This window comes from Homo sapiens, chromosome 16 (genome assembly GCF_000001405.40).
Source record: "Homo sapiens chromosome 16, GRCh38.p14 Primary Assembly".
In the NCBI taxonomy this organism is placed as follows: domain Eukaryota; kingdom Metazoa; phylum Chordata; class Mammalia; order Primates; family Hominidae; genus Homo; species Homo sapiens.
Window position 1 is genome coordinate 14,502,928 of NC_000016.10, and position 20,810 is coordinate 14,523,737.

The 20,810-nt window shown below is 39.8% G+C and overlaps 1 protein-coding gene across 11 annotated transcripts in view, besides 1 other annotated feature; it reads right to left on the reverse strand.

Annotated features, from left to right (window-relative positions):
- The window catches only part of PARN (poly(A)-specific ribonuclease), a 194,560-nt gene that overhangs the window by 67,227 nt on the left and 106,523 nt on the right, over positions 1–20,810 (reverse strand). The window lies entirely within an intron of this gene.
- Positions 19,726–20,463: an enhancer, noted in NCBI's record as "OCT4-NANOG-H3K27ac hESC enhancer chr16:14616510-14617247 (GRCh37/hg19 assembly coordinates)". NCBI's record gives its function as "activates a minimal SCP1, AML or CMV promoter by ChIP-STARR-seq in naive H9 embryonic stem cells {active_cell/tissue: H9 hESC(naive)}" and the evidence as "EXISTENCE:reporter gene assay evidence [ECO:0000049][PMID:30033119]".

Sequence of the window (20,810 nt, forward strand, 5' to 3'; positions counted from 1 at the left end):
AAAATTAAATAATTAATCTGGCAATTTAAAACAAATTAATATTAAAGTAAAATGGACATATTGCAGAATAGCATTTTTTTAAATTGTGAGAATGGTTTAAATAAAACATAAGACGGTAGAGATATTTCACCTTCTGCCCCCCTCACCCCGCTGCGCCCCTGAGTGCTCCTATCCACGCTGCTTTGGTGTTGTTTGAGAAGAACCTCCCCCCACAGAGGCACTGATACTAGCTGAATGGATTCTCCTTTCTGGGGAATGAGAACACCAGAAAGGAAAAGAGACTTCCACCTTCTCTTCTTGGCAGCAAGGAGGTGAATGTAATGTCCACATGAGGGTAGTTTATACATGTCAATTTGTATTCTAGGTGCACAAACAACACTCAGAGAGCTGTAAGGAGTTCTCTGTGGTTAGAAGCAATTCTGAAAAGAGCTGACTCATATGAGAAAAGCGTAATGCAGTATCTATTTCTTTTAGCAAAGGTGATAGAAACGCACGTATCATGAATATGTCATGCAAGGAAAGATGAGGGCAGCCTAAGCTGAGAAGGTGTTCAAATAAATTTCCTGTTTGAAAGGGATTATGATACTGCTCTTTTCCCTACCTACCTGTGGACACAACAGAAAGGTGGGAATCCTGTCCTATAAATTCAGGTTCTGGCCCTCATTTGCCCTACAAGTATTTCTTAGCCAAGGTGAAGTGGTCACCCGTGCATCTACCAAAATGGTCTGGACCACTGACTGGGCAGGTTTTGAGAAGCACGGTCACCTGCCTCAGGGTGGTAGCTATCATTTCCTGAGATTATATCACAGGTAGTACACGCTGCCAATGCTGTAGGCTCTGTTACCCTCACTTTATACAGAAAACTGAAGACCCTGTTGAATGGCTTGTCCATAGTCTTGCAGCTGGTATAAGGAGAACTGGAATACAAATTCAAGATGTTTCAATCATACAATGCTGCAAGGAGCTGATGTCAAGGAAGATACAAAGTAATGACCACCTACTCTGCTAGCAGATGGTGGTAAATTGTTCTTAGAAGCAGTGAACCAAGGGCATGATATCAACAGTCCTTGTGTGTGCCTTCTTCAGCAGAGAGGTCTACTGACTGTCAGTGAGTGTTCTGTCTAAACGAGAAGGGGCTTAGAGAGGATCATATCCTTTGACCTAGTAATTCCTCTTTTAGGAAATCATCCTATGAAAACAATCTGAAATGAGGACTAATTTTTAATGCACAAGGATACGTAAATTTTTAAATTAAAAATGTCTTCAAAACACAAACAAATGTTTAATAGTAGGAGAATAGTTAAATAATTATGCTATTCATATTCATTAAAAATTATGTGAGGTTGAGGGAGGCCGGCACGGTGGCTCACACCTGTAATCCCAGCACTTTTGGCGACCGAGGTGGGTGAATCACGAGGTCAGGAGTTGGAGATCAGCCTGGCCAACATGGTGAAACCCTGTCTCTAATAAAAATACAAAAAATTATCCGGGCATGGTGGCATGAGCCTGTAATCCCAGCTACTCGGGAGGCTGAGGCAGGAAAATAGCTTGAACCCAGGAGGCGGAGGTTGCAGTGAGCAGAGATTGCGCCATTGCACTCCAGCCTGGGTGACAGAGCAAGACTCCGTCTCAAAAAATAAATAAATAAAATAAATAAAAATTACGTGAGGGAGAAAGTAGGGAGAGGGGAGAAAAAATACGCTTTCAAAGCAATAATAACCAAACAAAATATAATCAATAAATTCTCTGGCTAGCTATTTGGGAAAAAGTAACATGAATGCCTCTCTCATAGGTTATACCATTGACTCAATCAACAAATATTTGCTGATCACCTATTTTAAGCATTGAGAAAAACTTAGAATAAAAAAATCTTTGCCCTCCTAAGACAATTCGTTAAGCAGTACAGTTTCATATGGGTATTTTCCTATATGTATGTTAAGCCTCCATTTAAAAGTTAAAATAAAAAGCCTGACTTCATGGATCTTACATTCTAGTGGTGAGATATAGACACTAAACAAAAAAGTAAAATATACAGTGTACGTGCAGTGCTATGGAGAAAACAAAAAGCAGGCAGTACTGAGATGTGGGTTGTGATTTTAAATTAAGTGGTCAGGGAAAGTCTTACTGATAAAGTTACCACATAACAATGCAAGATGCCAAATTTCAGATAAATTACATATCACTGTTTAGTATATCATACAATATTTGGCACACAGCTATTTTAAGTGAAATCTGGCAATCTTACTTACTGAAAGGCAAGTGAACAAACCTCATTCCTAATAAATTAAATGTTAATGCTTCTGAATAGGACACTAAAGCCAGAAACTATAAAAGAATAAACTGACAGATATACTATGGAAAATGTAAAGCTTTGGTTCGGCAACATAGGCTAGATTAAGAATAGCTGGGCACAGTGGCGCACGCCTGTAGTCCCAGCTCCTCCAGAGGCTGAGGTGGGAGGACCTCGAGCCCAGGAGTTAAAGGCTGAAGCTGGAGGGTGCTATAATCACACCTGTGAATACTGGGTAACAAAGCAAGATCTCGTCTCTTAAAACACACACACACACACACACACATACACACACAAAACTGTACAACAAATTGGGACAAGTATTTGCAAAATACAAAACTCAGGATTAATCTAAGCATCATTTTCTCCTATAAAATGAGGGGAGGGGGAAGATACCTGTGGTTCATACAATTATAAGGATTTCAGAACCATGTCTTGTACCTAATAACCAATGGTTCATTAAATGTAATAAATAATAATCATGATGTAGGTGTACTTATAAATCAGCAAGAAAAGCACACAATTCACAAAATAATATCAACCAATTAAACTTCTGAAAATAATTCTAGTGTCAGCTTTGGCAACATGTGAACTAAAATTTGAATGACATCCTTGCACAAAGAGGTCACAAAATTTTAAAAGCAATCCATTTTTTAAAAAAATCATCAATGGACATTAATGCTGCTGGATGAAAGATTACTGAGGAACAGGGTTTCACAGTCTCAAAGTATTACTCACAGAGTACTTATTTATTACAAAGCAGGAAGGCTACAATGGAAAAATCTGTGACCACTATTTACCTAAATGATGTCAAACCAGACATCAGCAATAAGGGAACAAACTGATACCATGTGCCTCTCAGTGTGATGCACTGAAAAGAGCACATCAACTACGTGGTACTCCCGCCAGAAACATTTAATCTGAATCTTATCATGAGACAATCAGAAACATACACATTGAAGGACACTGTAAAACAACTGATCTGAACTCCTCAGAAAAATGTCAATCTTGTGAAAATAAGAAACAGGCTGGGGAACTATTCCAGATTAAAGGAGACTAAAGACTAAAGAGCCATGATGACTAAAAGTAACACAAGACTTTGACTGGAGCTTGGATCCAAAAATAAAAATAGAAAAACTGTAAGGGACATTATTAGGACATTTGGGGAAATTTGATTACAGCATGGACATTAGATCATATCAAAATCATATCAGTGTTAAATTTCCTGAGTGTGATAAATATATTAGGGCAATATTTTTAAAAAGCCTGTGTTCTTAAGAGAAATACACTAAAATACTTCTAAGCAAACTGTTATGTCTCTGACTCTCAAGTAGTTTAGCAATAAAAAACAAATACATGTATACATGTTCACATATGTACATATTATGCTTGTGTATATATGTGTGTGTCTGCAGAGAGGGAGACAGAGCAAATATGATAGAATGTTGCCAACTTGTCTATAGGTTTGAAATTTTTCAGAATCAAAAGTGAAGCTGAATGCAGTGGCACGAGCCTTTAGTTCCAGCTACTTGAGAGGCTGAGGCAGGAGGACTGCCTGAGCCCAGGAGTTCAAGTCCAGCTTGGCCAATATAGTGAGATCTCACTGCCTTTAAAAAAAGAAAAAGAGTGGGAGAAAATATTAATAAAAAATAAAATGCATGAGGTCTAACTCCAAAAACAAACAAAAAAGGAAAGAAAATGCATTCTCTCTCAGTAGTAATCAAAGAAATGCCAGTAAGAATGGTTTTGAAAAAGACTTAATGTTGGAGAAGCGTAACTAATATAACCTTTTTTAGAGGGTGATCTGACAATCTATAAGAAATTCTGGGCCAGGCGTGGTGGCTCATGCCTATAATCCCAGCACTTTGGGAGGCCGAGGCAGGCGGATCACCTAAGGTCAGGAGTTCGAGACCAGCCTGACCAACATGGAGAAACCCCATCTCTACTAAAAATACAAAATTAGCTGGGCGTGGTGGTGCATGCCTGTAATCCCAGCTACTCGGGAGGCTGAGGCAGGAGAATCACTTGAACCTGGGAGGTGGAGGTTGCGGTGAGCTGAGATGGTGCCACTGCACTCCAGCATGGGCAACAAGAGGGAAATTCGGTCTCAAAAAAAAAAAAGAAGAAATTCTGATTCTGAAACTTTGTTGAAACCAGCTCTCTGACTCTATCATGTAATCAACAGAGGCCAAGTGAAGGCCAGGCGTGGTGGCTCACACCTGTAATCCCAGCATTTTGGGAGGCCAAGGTGGGTGCATAGCTTGGGCCCAGGAGTATGAGACCGACCTGGCCAACATGGCAAAACCGTCTCTATTAAAAATACAAAAAAGGCATGGTGGTGTGTGTCTGTAGTCCCAGCTACTCGGGAGGCTGAGGCGCAAGAATCACTTGAACCTGGGAGGCAGAGATTGCAGTGAGCCAAGATTGCACCACTGCACTCCAGCCTGGGTGACAGGGGGAAAAAAAAAAGAGGCCAAGTGAAATTCTAGAGACTTTTAATTTCCCATTTGCAGCTCTTTCTTTCATACGAAATTCCTACGCCCAAAGAGGTTTGAGAGTAATAAAAATTGTAGTAAAAATACAAAATAAATGAAAGATCCTATAATAAGAATACTATTGAGTAAATAAATTATGGCATATCAACTTGATGGCTTATCTAATGCAGTCAGTTAAAATTTAAAATGATTTCACAGAGTTTAAACAACCTGAGAACATTTCTCAACTGTTAATGAGAAAAGCAAATCTTCAAGTCCATCTATAGTATGATTACACCTACATAAAATAATGAAAATGATACTGTAAGAAAATATGCCAGAATGTTATCATAATTATTTCTGGGTGATTATGTTTCATTATTGTGTGTTTTCCAAATTTTCTGTCATAAATATGTACCTGTTTTATTTTTATAAATACTTTTTATCCTAAAGTGGCAGGTCAATAGACAAATAACATAGGCAGGCAGGCAGGCAGGCAGATAGATAGATAGATAGATACATGGATAGATACATAGATAAGACAGACAAATAGGCAGGCTGGGCATGGTGCCTCACATCTGTAATCCCAGCACTTTGAGATGCCAAGGTAGGGGGATTGCTTGAGGCCAGGAATTGAAGACCAGCCTGGGCAGTAGAGTGAGACCCCCTCATCTCTACACCATAAAAAATAATAGTAGCAAAATAAATTTTTTAAAAAATAAATAAAAATAAAAGATAAAACGTGTAGCATTCCTGGACTCAGAACATAATATAAGATTTTTGTTATTATAGTGACCTGATTTAGAGGATCTAAAAAGTGAGTGTGGGGAAATGCAGGCTCACATTCCCATAGTGAGACACTCTGTAATAACCAGAGAGAATTTATAAAAACGAAACTTTAAAATAACTATAGGCTTAAGGCTAACAGATATATCAAAAATATAGAAATCCCTATAATTTCTGAATGTATGCAAATCAACATTGTAGGCTGACAATTTCCAACATTTGATAGAATTTTAAAATTATTCAATGTTGTATGTGGAAACTTGAAAAAAAAAAAAGATAATTTAAAAATTATTCTCAGGGGGCGGGGCATGGTGGCTAACGCCTATAATCCCAGCACTTTGAGAGGCTGATGTGGGAGGATCACTTGAGGCCAGGAGTTCAAGACTAGCCTGGGCAACACAGCAAGACCCAGTCTCTTAATTTAAAATATATATATATATATAATTCAAAGTAAGTGGTTCTGAGAATAATAAAATTATCCTGAGAATCCAGAAGGTAAAAAAATTTTTTAAAAGGTAAAATTTCCAAAGAAGCAATTAAATTATAAATAAATAAAATTATTCTGAAATAATTAAAATAACTCAGGTGACGTCACCCACTGAGACTGACTCTTAAGAAAGACGCCCCTTTGCAATGAGAAAGGTATCTCTCTCCTACAAGGTTACAGTAGGTAAGATGTTTTTGGCTTATGGTAAACAGCTTGTTTGAGAAGTTGCCTAAGAAAAGTATAAACCCCGTGTCAGCTGTTTGTTAGACTTACTCATCAGCCCCTGATGTGGCATCCAGACACCACCTACCCACCCATAGATAATCTCTTGGCAACATCACCACTAAGCTGGCCCTGCTGGCTCACAGAAAGAACAAACAGCGCACTTAGGAGCTACTGAGCTGGAGGTGAAGAGAAGGGAAAGAAATGGGGCTTTATTTAACAAGTGTGACTTACTGCATGATTATTTAGTGATTTTTTCTTTGGCTAACAGTTTATTTTAAATTTTTATTGAAATGGTAAAGCAGTTTAATAACTAATCCTTTTTCATGTGAAAGGACCTTTGGAAGATGCAAATTTTAAGCCCTAAACCCCATCCATCACATAAGATAGATAACAAATTATGAAGATCAATTCTCATCAACATTCAAAGTCTACCCACCAATATTAAACTCTAACAGTTGGTCAAATCCACCAATTTCTAAGAGCACTTGAAAGATACTTTTATTTACATATTAACTGCACTAAACAAGTACTGGGGCAAAGTGTAAAACTTGCTTCATATAATCAGTACATCCTCAACCCCTGGAAAGCTTTCCATGTTTTTCTATTCTTCAAGGAATACATCTTTGGCACTGAATTTCTTTTAGTAGAAAAGGAAGATAATGGGTAAGTGTCCTTGTTATTGCTTTGGATCCCTCAGAAATGGGTTTCGCAACTCACCAGAGTTGGAAAACAAAAATGTGAGGGCCTGGTTGATTCTAACATACTCCTAACAATTATCTTTCGGTGGAGAGGACTAAATCCTCACCCAGAGCAAACAAACAAAAACACCCCAACAGAACAATGGCAAAAACAACTGGTAGGATGTTCCCGTTGAGAAGGATTCCCGGATCACCTAAAGATTCCTCCTGTCCTCTACTGGGTGTTGCTGCCAGGGCATTTCAGGCATCTTTGCAGCCCGAGACTCTCCTCAAAGGAAAGAACAGCAAAGGCTGGGGGAATATGTTCATTTGTGAAGAAAAGGAAAATGTCAGGGTCGTTTTCAAAGCATGGGGTGATTAGTTTTGCCAAAAAATAAGTCAACAAAAACTGCAGAAAAACTGAGTAAAGCTACATATTCTCCTAACTGTAAACTGCCATCAAGGTGGCTCTTTTAATCATTACATATAAAATATCCAATGTACCCAGTACTGTTATTTTTCTATCATTTTGGCGAATTCTAGTGGGAAAAAAATGAAGAATGGGGAAGCTATAAACTTAGGAATAATTAAGTGCCTACACTGAACCACAAATTATATAGGACTTTGTAAAAATTTGTTTAATCCACAAGTATGGAAGAAAAATTAATCTTTATGATTTAAAAAAGAAAAAAACTCAGAGACTCAAAGAGAAAGAAAATAATTACTTAGTTAAAACAACAAATAAGGAAACCCAAACTTTTAGCTGGACTTAGTTTCTTAATCTACCCTTCTGCTTTTTTGAAGTCCATGCCAGAGAAGTGTGTTTTGAGCCTAGATCTCCATGCTCCAGTCCTCGGCTGCCAACAGCATGAGGCCCAGGACAGAAGTCCTGCCACCCCCATCTATGTGACATGGTGTTTTGACTTTGCCATGCAGGCAATGCTTATCACCTAGCCAAACTTACTCTTCTGTTACGCTAAACCAGGAGGGGGAAAGACAAGGCAAAGGAAGAAAAGACATCTATAAAAACAGCAGAAAATGTTTCTGAGGCAATTTTTCTTTTCAGAAAAAAACTGAGCCACAGAGGAAAAAATATTCACCAATGTCAAAAGTTCTGAATGCCACCCAACTATAGGATTGCTCAATCAAGGTAGTTTCTGGATCATTTCTCCTTTTAAAGAGCCCCATGAATACACAAAATCAGATCAAAAGTTCTTATTCTTCCACTATCACATCTATGAAATTATTTCCTTTAAATTATACATTAGTCTTCCCTTGTTAAAAAAATGTAAGAAATAAAAATTAAAAACTCACTGCTAGCTTAAAGCCTTAAGCACTAGCTTGTTTACCTCCATGAGTTGACACAGGGTGATGAGTCCAAGGTCTCATTATCTTTTAAAGGTCAAGGATGAGATAGCTTGGCTTGTTCGATGAACACAAGGCTATACCCTCAACACCCTGCTCAGAAATGAATGCCACTGTTTGTTCACAAAGGACAGGGAAAGAGCGTCTAGACAGATTAACACAAATCCATTCCCACTGCTGAGAAACCCCAAACCACATCCTATTTGATGGCTCATTAAAAAAAAAAAATTACTTGGGAAGTGTTCAGGCAGCAGATAAATTCCTACACTAGTCAGAAAGAACAGCTAATCAACAATACATCACACATAATATAAGCTTGACTCAATGAGCTCAAATCATGACAAAAATATGAGACTGAGACATACGGTTCTTCTCTGCCTCCTAAATTATTGGGTGTAGCAGTTTCAAGCAGAGATCCATGTATACCCGAAAGGTTAAATGCATCCACTATGTTATGGTATGTTATGTTATGTTATGTTATATTTTAGACACAGGGTCTCACCATCTCACCCAGTCTGGAGTAGAGTGGCACGATCTTCACTTACTGCAGCCTCGAACTCCTGGCCTCAAGCAATCCTCCTGCCTCAGCCTCCCAAGTAGCTGGGACTATGGGTGTGTGCCACCATGCTCAGCTAATTTTTAAAATTTCTTTGTAGAGATGAAGGTCTTTCTGTGTTACCTACGCTGGTCTTGAACTGTCCTCAGTCTCAGCCTCCCAAAGCACTGGGATTATAGGTGTGAGTCACCAGGCCTGGACATTAAATACATCTATAACCTACTTCACAAGTAATTCTGAAAAGTCTCTAGGGTCTAAAAATAAAGTGATTTTTTTCCTTCCTTCTGGAAGACATAAGTTAAAAAGGCATTGTGTACAAAAGTCAGTATGACAAAGAATTTAATCTTCCACTGTGTAGCTAAGAATTACCATTTAGTTGAGAACTCCTTGACTTGTCATGACTGTGCTAAGTGTTGTATTAATAATCGTCCTGGCCGGGCGTGGTAGTTCACGCCTGTAATCCCAACATTTTGGGAGGCTGAGGCAGGCAGATTGCTTGAGGTCAGGAGTTTGAGACCAGCCTAGTGAACATGCTGAAACCCTGTCTCTACTAAAAATACAAAAAATTAGCTGGGTGTGGTGGTGCACGCCTGTAGTCCCGAGGCTGAGGCACGAGAATTGTTTGAGCCTGGGACGTGGAGGTTGCAGTGAGCCAAGATCACACCACTGCACTTCAGCCTGGGCAACAGAGTGAGACTCTCTCAAAAAAAGAAAAAAATCATCTCACCCAACCTGATCCATCCTGTGAGGTCTGCTCTAAAGACACCTGGGGGAATGGTGTGTCTATGAGGAGGAGGCTCACTGTCTTGCTCCAGATGTGCATGCAAAGTATTACTTCAGCTTCGTTTTACTCAGGAGGACACCTGGGCTCAGAAACCTTTGATAAGAAATCAAGGGTGGGACCCCAGAAATCCAAGTGGGACCTTATGGGACTCCAAAAATGGAGTTCTTTCCACTCTGCCTTATTGCCTCTGATATGTTTATCCATACGTTTCTACAGAATTTGACCGTTCAGGTAAAATCAGCAATAAAAGCAAGCACTCTTCTTGCACATTTTTAAGCGGTTTTTGTTGTGGTTTTTATTTTTTAATCTTACAGCTCAAATAAATGTTTCTCTACCAGAAGCACTTAAGAAATATTATCATTATTTTTGAGATGGAGTCTCGCTCTGTCACCCAAACTGGAGTGCAGTGGCGTGATCTTGGCTCACTGTTGCAACCTTTACCTCCAGGATTCAAGCGATTCTCGTACCTCAGCCTCCTGAGTAGCTGGGATTACAGGTGCGTGCCACCACACCTGACTAGTTTTTGTATTTTTAGTAGAGACGGGGTTTCACCATGTTGGCCAGGCTGGTCTCCAACTCCTGACCTCAAGTGATCTGCCCGCCTCGGCCTCCCAAAGTGCTGGGATTACAGGCATGAGCCACTGCGCCTGGCCAAAAATATTTTCAAAACTTCAGCAAATAAAGTATAATTATCAAAAACAAAATCATTAACGTAATATAAACTGCTCATATATAATACAAACATGAACTATTTACTATATATATTCATTTTACCTGAGCTATGCTTTGTTCTCTCAAACCATTTTGAAGCCATGGCCCATGGATTCTACCAGTAATGATTAGCGTTTCGTGCTGGGAGTCCTATAAAATCCTGTCTTCATTACACATAATGTACCATACTTTATGAGTTCTGGCCCAACAGGTTACCTTATGGCTAAGAACTGGAGCTACTTTTTAGATAGTTCACTAAGAGCAAAATCTGTAACTGGGCCAGAAGGCTCTGCACATGGCCTACCTGTCTTCCAGCTTCCTGCTCCCTCCCCTGCCCGCACAATACTGCTTGGCACTGGCCTTCTGCCACTCCTGGAACCTGTCGGCCCTTCTCCCTGTTGTGGCTGAGCCTTTAGAAAAGGCGCTTCATCATCGTGGAGCATTCCTGCCACTGTCACAAAGCTCTCACTGACCATTCTTTCACTTCTTGGAGCAAAACTCTCTTTCTTAGAGAAGCCTCCCTGACTGCCGCAGACGAGGTCCGTTTACCCTGTTCTGCCCTCTCAAAGCACTTTCTACCCTTTACTGGACTAATTTCTGTCTCTCCCACTAGACTGCAAACTCCATGAGGGCAGGGCATCTGTTTTGTTCACCACAGTATCCTCAGTACCAGGTCAGTGCCCGGCACACATGCATTAATTCAACAAACATTTGAGCACTAGTGCACATAAGGGATTGTTGTAGGCACAGGGGACATATCATGAACCTCAGATTCTAGTCAAGGAAACAAGACAATGGTGGGGGTATGGACAAAAGGAAACAATCAGTGCTTCAGAAAACCAGATAGCAAGGAAGGGGGGATATAAGAGTCACTTTATTTATTTAATTTAATGTAATGTCATTAATTAATTTATTTTTTTGAGATGGAGTTTTGCTCTGTCACCCAGGCTGGAGTGCAGAGGCACAATCTCGGCTCACTGCAACCTCTGCCTCCCAGGTTCACACCATTCTCCTGCCTCAGCCTCCTGAGTAGCTGGGACTACAGGTGCCCACCACCATGCCTGGCTAGTTTTTTTTGTATTTTTAGTAGAGACAGGGTTTCACCGTGTTAGCCAGGATGATCTCGATCTCCTGACCTCATGATCCACCCGCCTCAGCCTCCCAAAGTGCTGGGATTACAGGCATGAGCCACCACGCCTGGCCAAGAGTCACTTTAAATGCAGTTGAAGGCACAACATCATTAAGAAATTCTGAACAATCATTTGATGGAGGTGAGGTGAGGGAGACTGAATCACTAAATATCTGAGGAAAGATATTTCCTCAGAAATATGCCATACTTGTAATATAAAATACCATACTTAAAATATGCCATATTTTATGAGTTCTGGCCCAAAAGGTTACCTTATGGCTATGAACTGGAGTAACTTTTTAGATAGTTCACTAAGAGCAAAATCTGTAATTCGGCCAGAAGGCCCTGTAGCACGTGGCCAGCTTGTCTTCCAGCTTCCCAAGGGAGAAGGGAGGAAGCAGTGAGTGAAAAGGCCACCTGAGGACCTGTGGAGTATGGTCTGGAATAAGCAAGCATATAGCAGACACTCCATGGCATAAATAAGGCTGCACGGGGAAGCTACGTTAAATCAAGCTGTTAATTATCACAGATGCCAAGGTGAAGCTAAGTTTCCATCATGTAACTTCTCTGTGGGGAGTAACACAGTATGTGGCCCAAAGAACAAACATCTTTACGAATCAACACTTGCCTGTTCCTTATTGTTCCCTCAACCAAACTTGCCGTTGTCACTGTGTCACTGTGCTGGTTACTCATTTCTTCACCAAATTCCAGAACATATACTTGTTTTTGTCTCTTACTGATCAGCCTTTGAGATGGGATCTTGCTATATTGCCCAGGCTGGACTTGAACTCCTGGGCTCCACAATCCTCCTGCCTCAATCTCCTGAGTAGCTGGGACTATAAGCTTGTGCCACCACTCCTGGCTGCTAACTTTTTTTAAACAGATGTCCCGAATATAAACATGAATTCCACCTCAGGTAGCAAATTCTACAGTATATTTTGTTGCAGTTTTACTGGTTTCACTGGCCTAACAACTGACCTTAAACATATGTAGATGGAAATATTTTATTGTCAATTTAATGTTTCCTCAGAGATTTTAGCAGTAAAAAGAAAGGAAAACAGCCACTAGAGGTAAGTGAAGAGGACTGCATTTAAATCCCATAAAGCAGTGGCAGAAAAAATTCTCCCTACGGCCAATGAATGCATGACAGAAGGACACGCCTAAAAAAGAGATGAAAAGCTGTACCTAATATTTTGAAATCAACTAAAAGATTTAAGATAATAATATATGAAAGAACATTAAGGCTAGGCATGGTGGCTTGTACCCATAATCCTAGCTACTCGAGAGGCTGAGGCAGGGGGATTATTTGAGCCCAGGGATTCAAGGCCAGCCTGGGCAATACAGCAAGACCCTGTGTCTTAATTTTTTTTTTTTTTAAATTAGCCAGGCATACTGGCGCACATCTGTAGTCCTAGCTACTCAGGAGGCTGAAGCAGGAGGATTGCTTGAGGCCAGGAGATTGAGGCTGCAGTGAGCTATGATAGCACCAATGCACTCCAGCCTAGGTTAACAGATAGATACTCGACTAAAAATAAATAAGTAAATTGATAGATAGACAGACAAACAGAATGAACATTAAATCAGAATTAGGAAATCTCAGAAATGAGGTCACAGTACTCAAGAAAACATTAACACTCAAAAAAAATTAGATATAAAAAGGAAAATTGTTTTATGAGGGCCAAATTAGAAAAAATACAAGAATAAAAAAACACAACTTGCCTTAAGAGAAACAGATAATTAAAAGATAAAAAATTTTAAAACCAAAAAAGAATTAAATTAGATAATTAGAAATTAAATAAATTAAAAATGACTTGAAAGAAAGTGACACAGATGATGGGCAAAGATCCAAATAGCTATAATAGAAGTTTTCATAGACAAAAACAAAAGCAAGGGAACAGAACAACGCTGAAAATTACAACTCAAGAAAACTTTGCTCAGATAACCAAAAAAGGCTCAATATTGCATGCTGAAAGGCTATACCGCATACATCTGCGAAAACGGATCCAAAACAACTAGTCAAAATATACATTTCAGTAAAACTAGGAGACTTAAAAAAAAATTCAGCGCATCTGGTCAAAAAGAGTAAGTCAAGAAAAAAAAGTCAGATTGCCATCACACTTTGAGAGAAGCATTTCAAGCCAAAATAAAATGGAACATATTTAAGATTCTCAAAGAAAGAACATTTGAATCAAGGGTTCTTTCATATATAATTTTACACCTAGCTGAGCCTACTTTCAAGTACAAAGGCTTCTGACAAACTAACATTCAAGAACTCAGGGAGCACTTTTCCCATGACTCTTCCAAAAAAATGTAGTAGATGACCAAACTCATGGAACAAACATCATCGTAGGAACTGAGAGTGAGAATTAAATGTACACTTACCTGTAAAACAGAGACTAAATGATGGTTATAAGCGTTAGCATAGAGTATACAATGGCTATTTGCTCTGACAATGTAAATATGGTATAATTATTTTAAAAAGAAAAGGACAGAATGAAGAGGGCACACAAGAAGGTAGAATAAGAGTGCTGACTTCCTTACAGCTAATAAAGGGTATTTTTCTAAATCAGACACAGAAGAGGGAAGGCAGGGAAAATAAGAGATTATAGCTAATTTCAATATTGGTCATAGTAGGGTACCAATAGACAATGACTAAAAAGAGACAAGACTGAAGTACTGTATAACGTTATTTGTGGCAGACTGTAAAATGGCAAAAAAAATCCTTCCTTTTTATGCATGCCCCTTGCAATGTGACTTTTCTGCTCCTGCCATCAAGAGGTGCGGTGTATTTACTGCTCCCCTTGAATTTAAGATTGGCATGAGACCTGCTTTGGCTGAAGGTATATTAACAAGCATAATGCAAACTGAGGCTTGCAGGGTAGCTTGTGCTGTCTTGCTGCTGGGAACCCTTTGGTCACCATGTGGACAAGCTGGACTAGCCATCTACAGGATGAGGGGCCACATGGGGAGAGGCTCCCACTGTCCCAGTAATCCCAGCTGAGACACCAGAAGTGTGACTGACGTCATCCAATCCCAGCCAGTCTGGCCTAGACCAGAACTGCCTAGGCAACCTATGGAATTATGGGAAACAGGTAAGTATTGTTTTAAACCATTATGTGTTCAAAAAATGAGGTTTAGAACGAGGAGGACATCTGAAAAATAGAATATGCTTGACGACTGCCTTATAAGTGAAGAGCCCATATGCTTATATGCTAAAAAACAGAATATGCCTGAAGATTGCCTTATAAGTCAACAGAAAATAAAAGGTTATTTTTTCTTTTTTTGAGACAGAGTTTTGCTCTTGTTGCCCAGGCTAGAGTGCAGTGGCAAAATCTTGGCTCATTGCAACCTCTACCTCCCAGGTTCAAGTGACTCTCGTACCTTGGCTTCCTGAGTAGCTGGGATTACAGGTGTGCGCCACCACACCCAGCTAATTTTTTTGTATTTTTCATAGTGATGGGGTTGGCCAGGCTGGTCTCAAACTCCTGGCCTCAAGTGATCCACTTCGGCCTCCCAAAGTGCTGAGATTACAGGCATGAGCCACCATGCCTGGCCAAAAGGATATATTTTCAAACCAGATGTTGAGGGGGTGTTATCTAATTTCAATATTCCTATTAGAAAAATAATCGATAATGAAAAACATGGGGAGTGGCTATGGTATTACATAATGGCATATGTAGCCCTTAGAACAAAAATTTAATTTGCTCTTTTTTAAAAAACCCTCAAAAATAATAAAAATAATACAAATTAAAAGAGATAGAGAATAAATAAAACAGACCACAGAGAAAGACTACTTCATATACCCAGGAGGTCGAGGCTGCAGTGAGCTGAGATCACACCACTACACTCCAGCCTAGGCAACAGAGTAAGACCCTGTCTCAAAAAAAAAAAAAAAAAAAAAAAAAGACTACTCATATTAAAGAATTGCATACATACATATGTAATATGAAACAATGACAGAGCCAAGGCCAAACATATTGGCTATACCAATACATTTAAATGGGCTTAATTTATGTGTTAAAATTTAAAAAAAAAAATTCAGATTGGCTAGCAAAGCAAAATCCCACACTATGCCATATTACTACTGTCGTACTACTATGCAGTAATCTCCTGAATGGCTTGTAAAATAAAAAAAGCAAAGTAGAAAAAAGTAAATATAGCAGATTACAATTTACCTAAGAAACAGAAGAATATAAATATGTATACTTATGTTTTTATGTTAAGAAAAACAATGGAAGGATGAAGCAAAACAAAAATTACTTTTAAATAGTTACTCATTAAGGTGGGGAGAGAACAGGATGGAGGAGACAGGAATTAAAATCTAGACTTTTTTCAATATAGTACACCTTGTCTTTTAAATTTGACTTTGGAACTACGACAATATTTTAAATAATTACAGAACAGTTATATTTTTAAAAGTGATCTCTAAGAAATGAAAATAAAAGAAAACAAATGAACCCAATGTCTCCAACTGGGGGCATAAGCTCACAGACAGGGAATGTTCCAGAAGCTATCAGACTGTGCACCCCTAGAGATACACTAAGGTGGAAAGAACTGCAAAAGACAAATCTTAAGCCATCCTCGATTATTAAATCGGTGGCGAATGCACTGGTTTTGTTATTCTGAGGCTGTGGGGTGTGTACCATGGGATAAAGCAACTGAATGATTATATGATATTCTATTTCTACCATCTCCAGTGTCATTGAGAACCAGGATTCTTGCTATGAGAGAAAGAACGTATATATTTAGGACAAAAAAGATTAAGTAGAAAACCTATAGTCCTGATGTTGTATCAGAAATATCAGTTTGAACTCATGATGTATTTTCATCTGAAAGAAAAGAGAGGGGCATGGAGGGGAGGGGAGAGGAGAGAGGAAGGGAGGGGAGGGGAGGGAAGGGAAGGGGAGGGGAGGGGACGTGAGTGGAGGGTGGAGGGGAGGGGAGGGGAGGGGAGGAAGAACATTTTCTGAGCTCTGTCTGTTGTAAAGCTCAGAAACAATAACCAACCCAGTACAATGAGCACTCTAGCACCCAGAATGAGGTCTCGAAATGCCATTTTCCTTGAAAGGAACCAGAGCTCTTTGTAGAAGTGCTGATTCCAGGTCTGGGGAAGTGAATGTACAAGATGAGCCTGGAACATCTTGTCATCTCAGAGGGCCAGTCAAAAGAATTCATCGGCCAACCTCAAGAGGTTCTGATTTGCAACACTGGGAGAACTGGAGCATTAGTAAGGGTCAAAACTGTGACTGACTAAATCATATTATAGATTTCTCTATGTCATTATGTCCATAAGTCCATGATGATACTAAAACAAACTAACTGGCCACTACTGTCCATTTTTAGGCAAGAATCAAACATAAATTCTGCTTTTCCTATACCAATTGCCAACCACATAGCAGACAAGTAAAAGTTTCTCTTTATAGATATATTCCAACTAATAAAAGAAAAAGGCATGCTAGAATTACAGTATCACCATATTGCAGTCTCTAATGAAATAATGGATCTAGGTTAAGCATTAACACAGCCAATAAATCACACACAAAAAGAGAGATACTAGATACTAGATGTGCTTCCTGATGGAAGAACACATCACCACCTGTGAAGCAGTCTTGCAGCCTCAAAACATCAGTTCTTATTCTGATCAAGCTTCTAGCTTTAACAACAAGCTTATATGAAAAAGGAGGACAAAAGAATATATAAAACAACATGAGAGGTGGGGAGTGGATACAATCAGTAAAGTTCAGACTGTAAGAAATGCTACAGGACGAATAACCTTGCTTCTTCAACAAACGAGGGGGTGAGGGCAGAAGAGAGACACACTGATAGATTAAGAGACACCACAGACATTTCAACAACCACCATGTGTGGCCCTTATATGAATCTTGACTTCAGTGGAAAAAGATAAACTCATGACATTTGTGAGATAACTTGAAATTTTAACAGTCTATCAATAGTTTATCATTTTAAGATATTAATGATTTATTTTTTAGGAGCAATACTAATATTGTACCTATGTTTAAAAAAATAATCTGTGGGCCAGGCATGGTGGCTCATGCCTGTAATCTCAGCACTTTGGGAGGCCAAGGTGGACTGTTTGAGCTTAGGAGTAACATATCGAAACCCCGTCTCTACCAAAAATTAGCCAGGTACAGGGACATGCACCTGTAGTCCCAACTACTAGGGAGGCTGAGGCAGGAGAACAGCTTGAGCCTGGGAGGTGGAGGTTGCAGCGAGTGGAGATCGCACCACTGCACTCCAGACTGGGTGATGGGAGTGAAACCCTGTCTCAAAAAAAAAAAAATCTGTTTTTAAGAGACACACTGGAATATTTCCCAGTGAATACAATATGGATCTAAAATATGCTTCAAAATAAAAAGTGAGAGAGCAGGTGTTCGTAGAGATGAAACAGGACTGGCCACGATTAAGTGGCTGAAGGGGTTGGGGGTGAGTACAGACTTGTCACTATATTCTTCTTTATAGTGTGTGTGTCTTGGACATTTTTTTCCACAATAAAAAGTTCAACCAAACAAACAACATGAGTGCAACAGGTTCTCCCTCAGAGCATGGAGGAGACTGGCCACTGCCACAATCATGGTGTTGGCCTCTCTGGTTACACAATGCTTTATCCTTTAATTCTCTAGTCTAGTTTCTCCAAATAGCTTCAGTAAGGTAAAAGATTTTTATCAGAACATCATTTTCACTTTCACTGCTTTTCAGCTCTATCAAGGGCTTCTGTAATGTACACTTTGGCAAACCTAAACATTCCCTTTTCTTTTTCATAAGAAAAACAAAGCAAAATAGAGTACTTGACAGACAACAGAGAATTTCCCCTTCTTTTCCCTTTAGAATAATGAAGATGAGGCTCCAAACTCAACCTCTTGCAGCCGTTCTCTGAAAGTAAACCAGGGTTGCCAAAAAGTTCTATGGCCTGCAGGTCCCTGCGTCACCCCATCCTCCAGCCCGGCAAATCTCTGACATGTGGTAAAGCCTGTGCAAAGTCACATGTCAGGAAATAAACACACAGAGCCACTCCACTGAACATCAGTTCACAGCCACAGGAACGCTTTTGCTTTCCATTTGGAATATTTGTTAAATATATGTAACGGGCCGGGCACGGTGGCTCACGCCTGTAATCCCAGCACTTTGGGAGGCTGCGGCGGGCGGATCACCTGAGGTTGGGAGTTTGAGACCAGCCTGACCAACATGAAGAAATCCCATCTCTACTAAAAATACAGAATTAGCAGGGTGTAGTGGTACATGCCTGTAATCCCAGCTACACGGGAGGGAGGCTGAGGCAGGAGAATTGCTTGAACCCGAGAAGTGGTGGTTGTGGTAAACCAAGATTGCGCCATTGCACTCCAGCCTGGGCAACAAGAGCCAAACTCCATCTCAAAAAAAAAAAAATACACGTAACCACCACCTATTGACGTTTCAGTCAACAGTGGACCCCCTTATACATGGTGGTCCCATAAGATTATGATACTGTATCTTTTCTATGTTTAGATATACAAATACCATTGTATTACAACTGCCTACTGTATTCAGTACAGTAACATGCTGTACAGGTGTGCAGCCTAGAAGCAACAGGCTACTCCTTGTAGTCTAGGACTGCAGTAGGCTGTACCATATAGGTTTAAGTACACAACGATGTTCACACAACGAAAATGCCTAACAACACATTTCTCAGAAGGTGGCCCCTGTTACTAAGCTTATGACTGTATTACTAAGGAGCTAAGTCAAAGGTAAAAATAGTCCAGCAGGTAAAAACAAGAAAAGCTCAAACACCAATACTACAGAGAGATCTTTAGCCACAAACATCATTTGCACATCAAGAACCAAACAGAATTGGGGTGCAGGTGAGGAGGTGGGCTGAGCTAAGGTAGAGCCTCTTCCCACTAGGAATGTAAAGGAGTATTAAAGGATAATTAGAACTTTTTTTCCTAAATGCACAAATCTCAGGTGTCAGAAATAAGAGAGAAAAGAGCTGGGCATGGTGGTATACACCTGAAATCTAGCTACCTGGGAGGTTGACGCAGGAGAATGGCTTGAGTCCTGGAGTTTAAGGTCAGCATGGGCAGCACAGTGAGACTTGGTCTCTTAATAAGAGGGAAGCAGGAAGGGGAGAAATAAGAGAAAATGTAAAGCCAGGGCTTAAGAGAAAGAGTGGGCTGGGGCAGCCCTGGTGGAAAAAAGGGGAAAACAAGACCAGGTACAGGGGACAATATCCAGAAGTCACAAAGACCCAGACATGGCCTCAGACCTGTGTGGCACAGGAAGCTGGAACAAGGTCCCTGCATCAAGATGGGCACACAGAAAGGCTGCCCCCTCCAAGTGAAGAAGGCAAGAACAACAACCAGCCCAGAGAAATGGCAACCAAAGCTCCCTGTCCATGGCCTGGGGTGGGGAGAGAAAGGTCTGTAAAGAGAAATCTCATCTCAAGCCTGCTCCACAAGTGGGTGCTAAGAAAAAGGAACAAAGAAAACACCTGGTAATACTAAAGATAAGTGGACCCAATTCACCATTTAAAAGACAGATTCTCAGACTAAAGAAAAGCAAATTTACATATAGATGCTCTTCACAAAAGACACATAAAAACCTACTCACAAAGCAACTCAGAAAGAAATTCAGAAGTAAAAGGATGAAAAAGATGTATCAGGCAAATACTTAACAAAAAAGGAAAACCTTGACATAAAGTTATCGGACAAAAATGAGTTCAGGACAAAAAAACCCCAAACAACAAACCACTAATTAGAAAAACAGCATTAAACTATGCAAAGAAAAACTGACAGAATTATAAAGAAAAACTAACAAGTACACACACACACACACACACACACACACACACAAACTATACATATACATATATATATCCCCCAATTATAAACTCGTGTCAAGCAAACAAAAATAATTAGTAAATATACAGAAGATTGGGACGTTTCTGACAAACCCTACACTTAACAGTTAGAAAATGTACTTTCAAACAAACGTGGCACATTTACAAAACCTGACTAGGCCATAAAGCAAGACTCAACAGATAGCACACACTGTCTTAACCACATTCTCTAACACAATGCAATACAATCAGAAAATACAGTCAGGACAGGATGCAAATTAGAGCAATCTCTGCTTTCTGCCCCATTTCTCCGAACACAGTCAGAGAAGTCTATCCTCCTGCTGACCTAAAATTAATACTGTACATACGTAGAGATCAGATACAGAAAAGTCTAAAGACTTATACAGAATATGAAATGATTATTACATTTAATGTCAAAGACAGAACAGCTAACCAAAGGAAAACAAAACCTGCCTGCCTCTTTGAGCCTCCC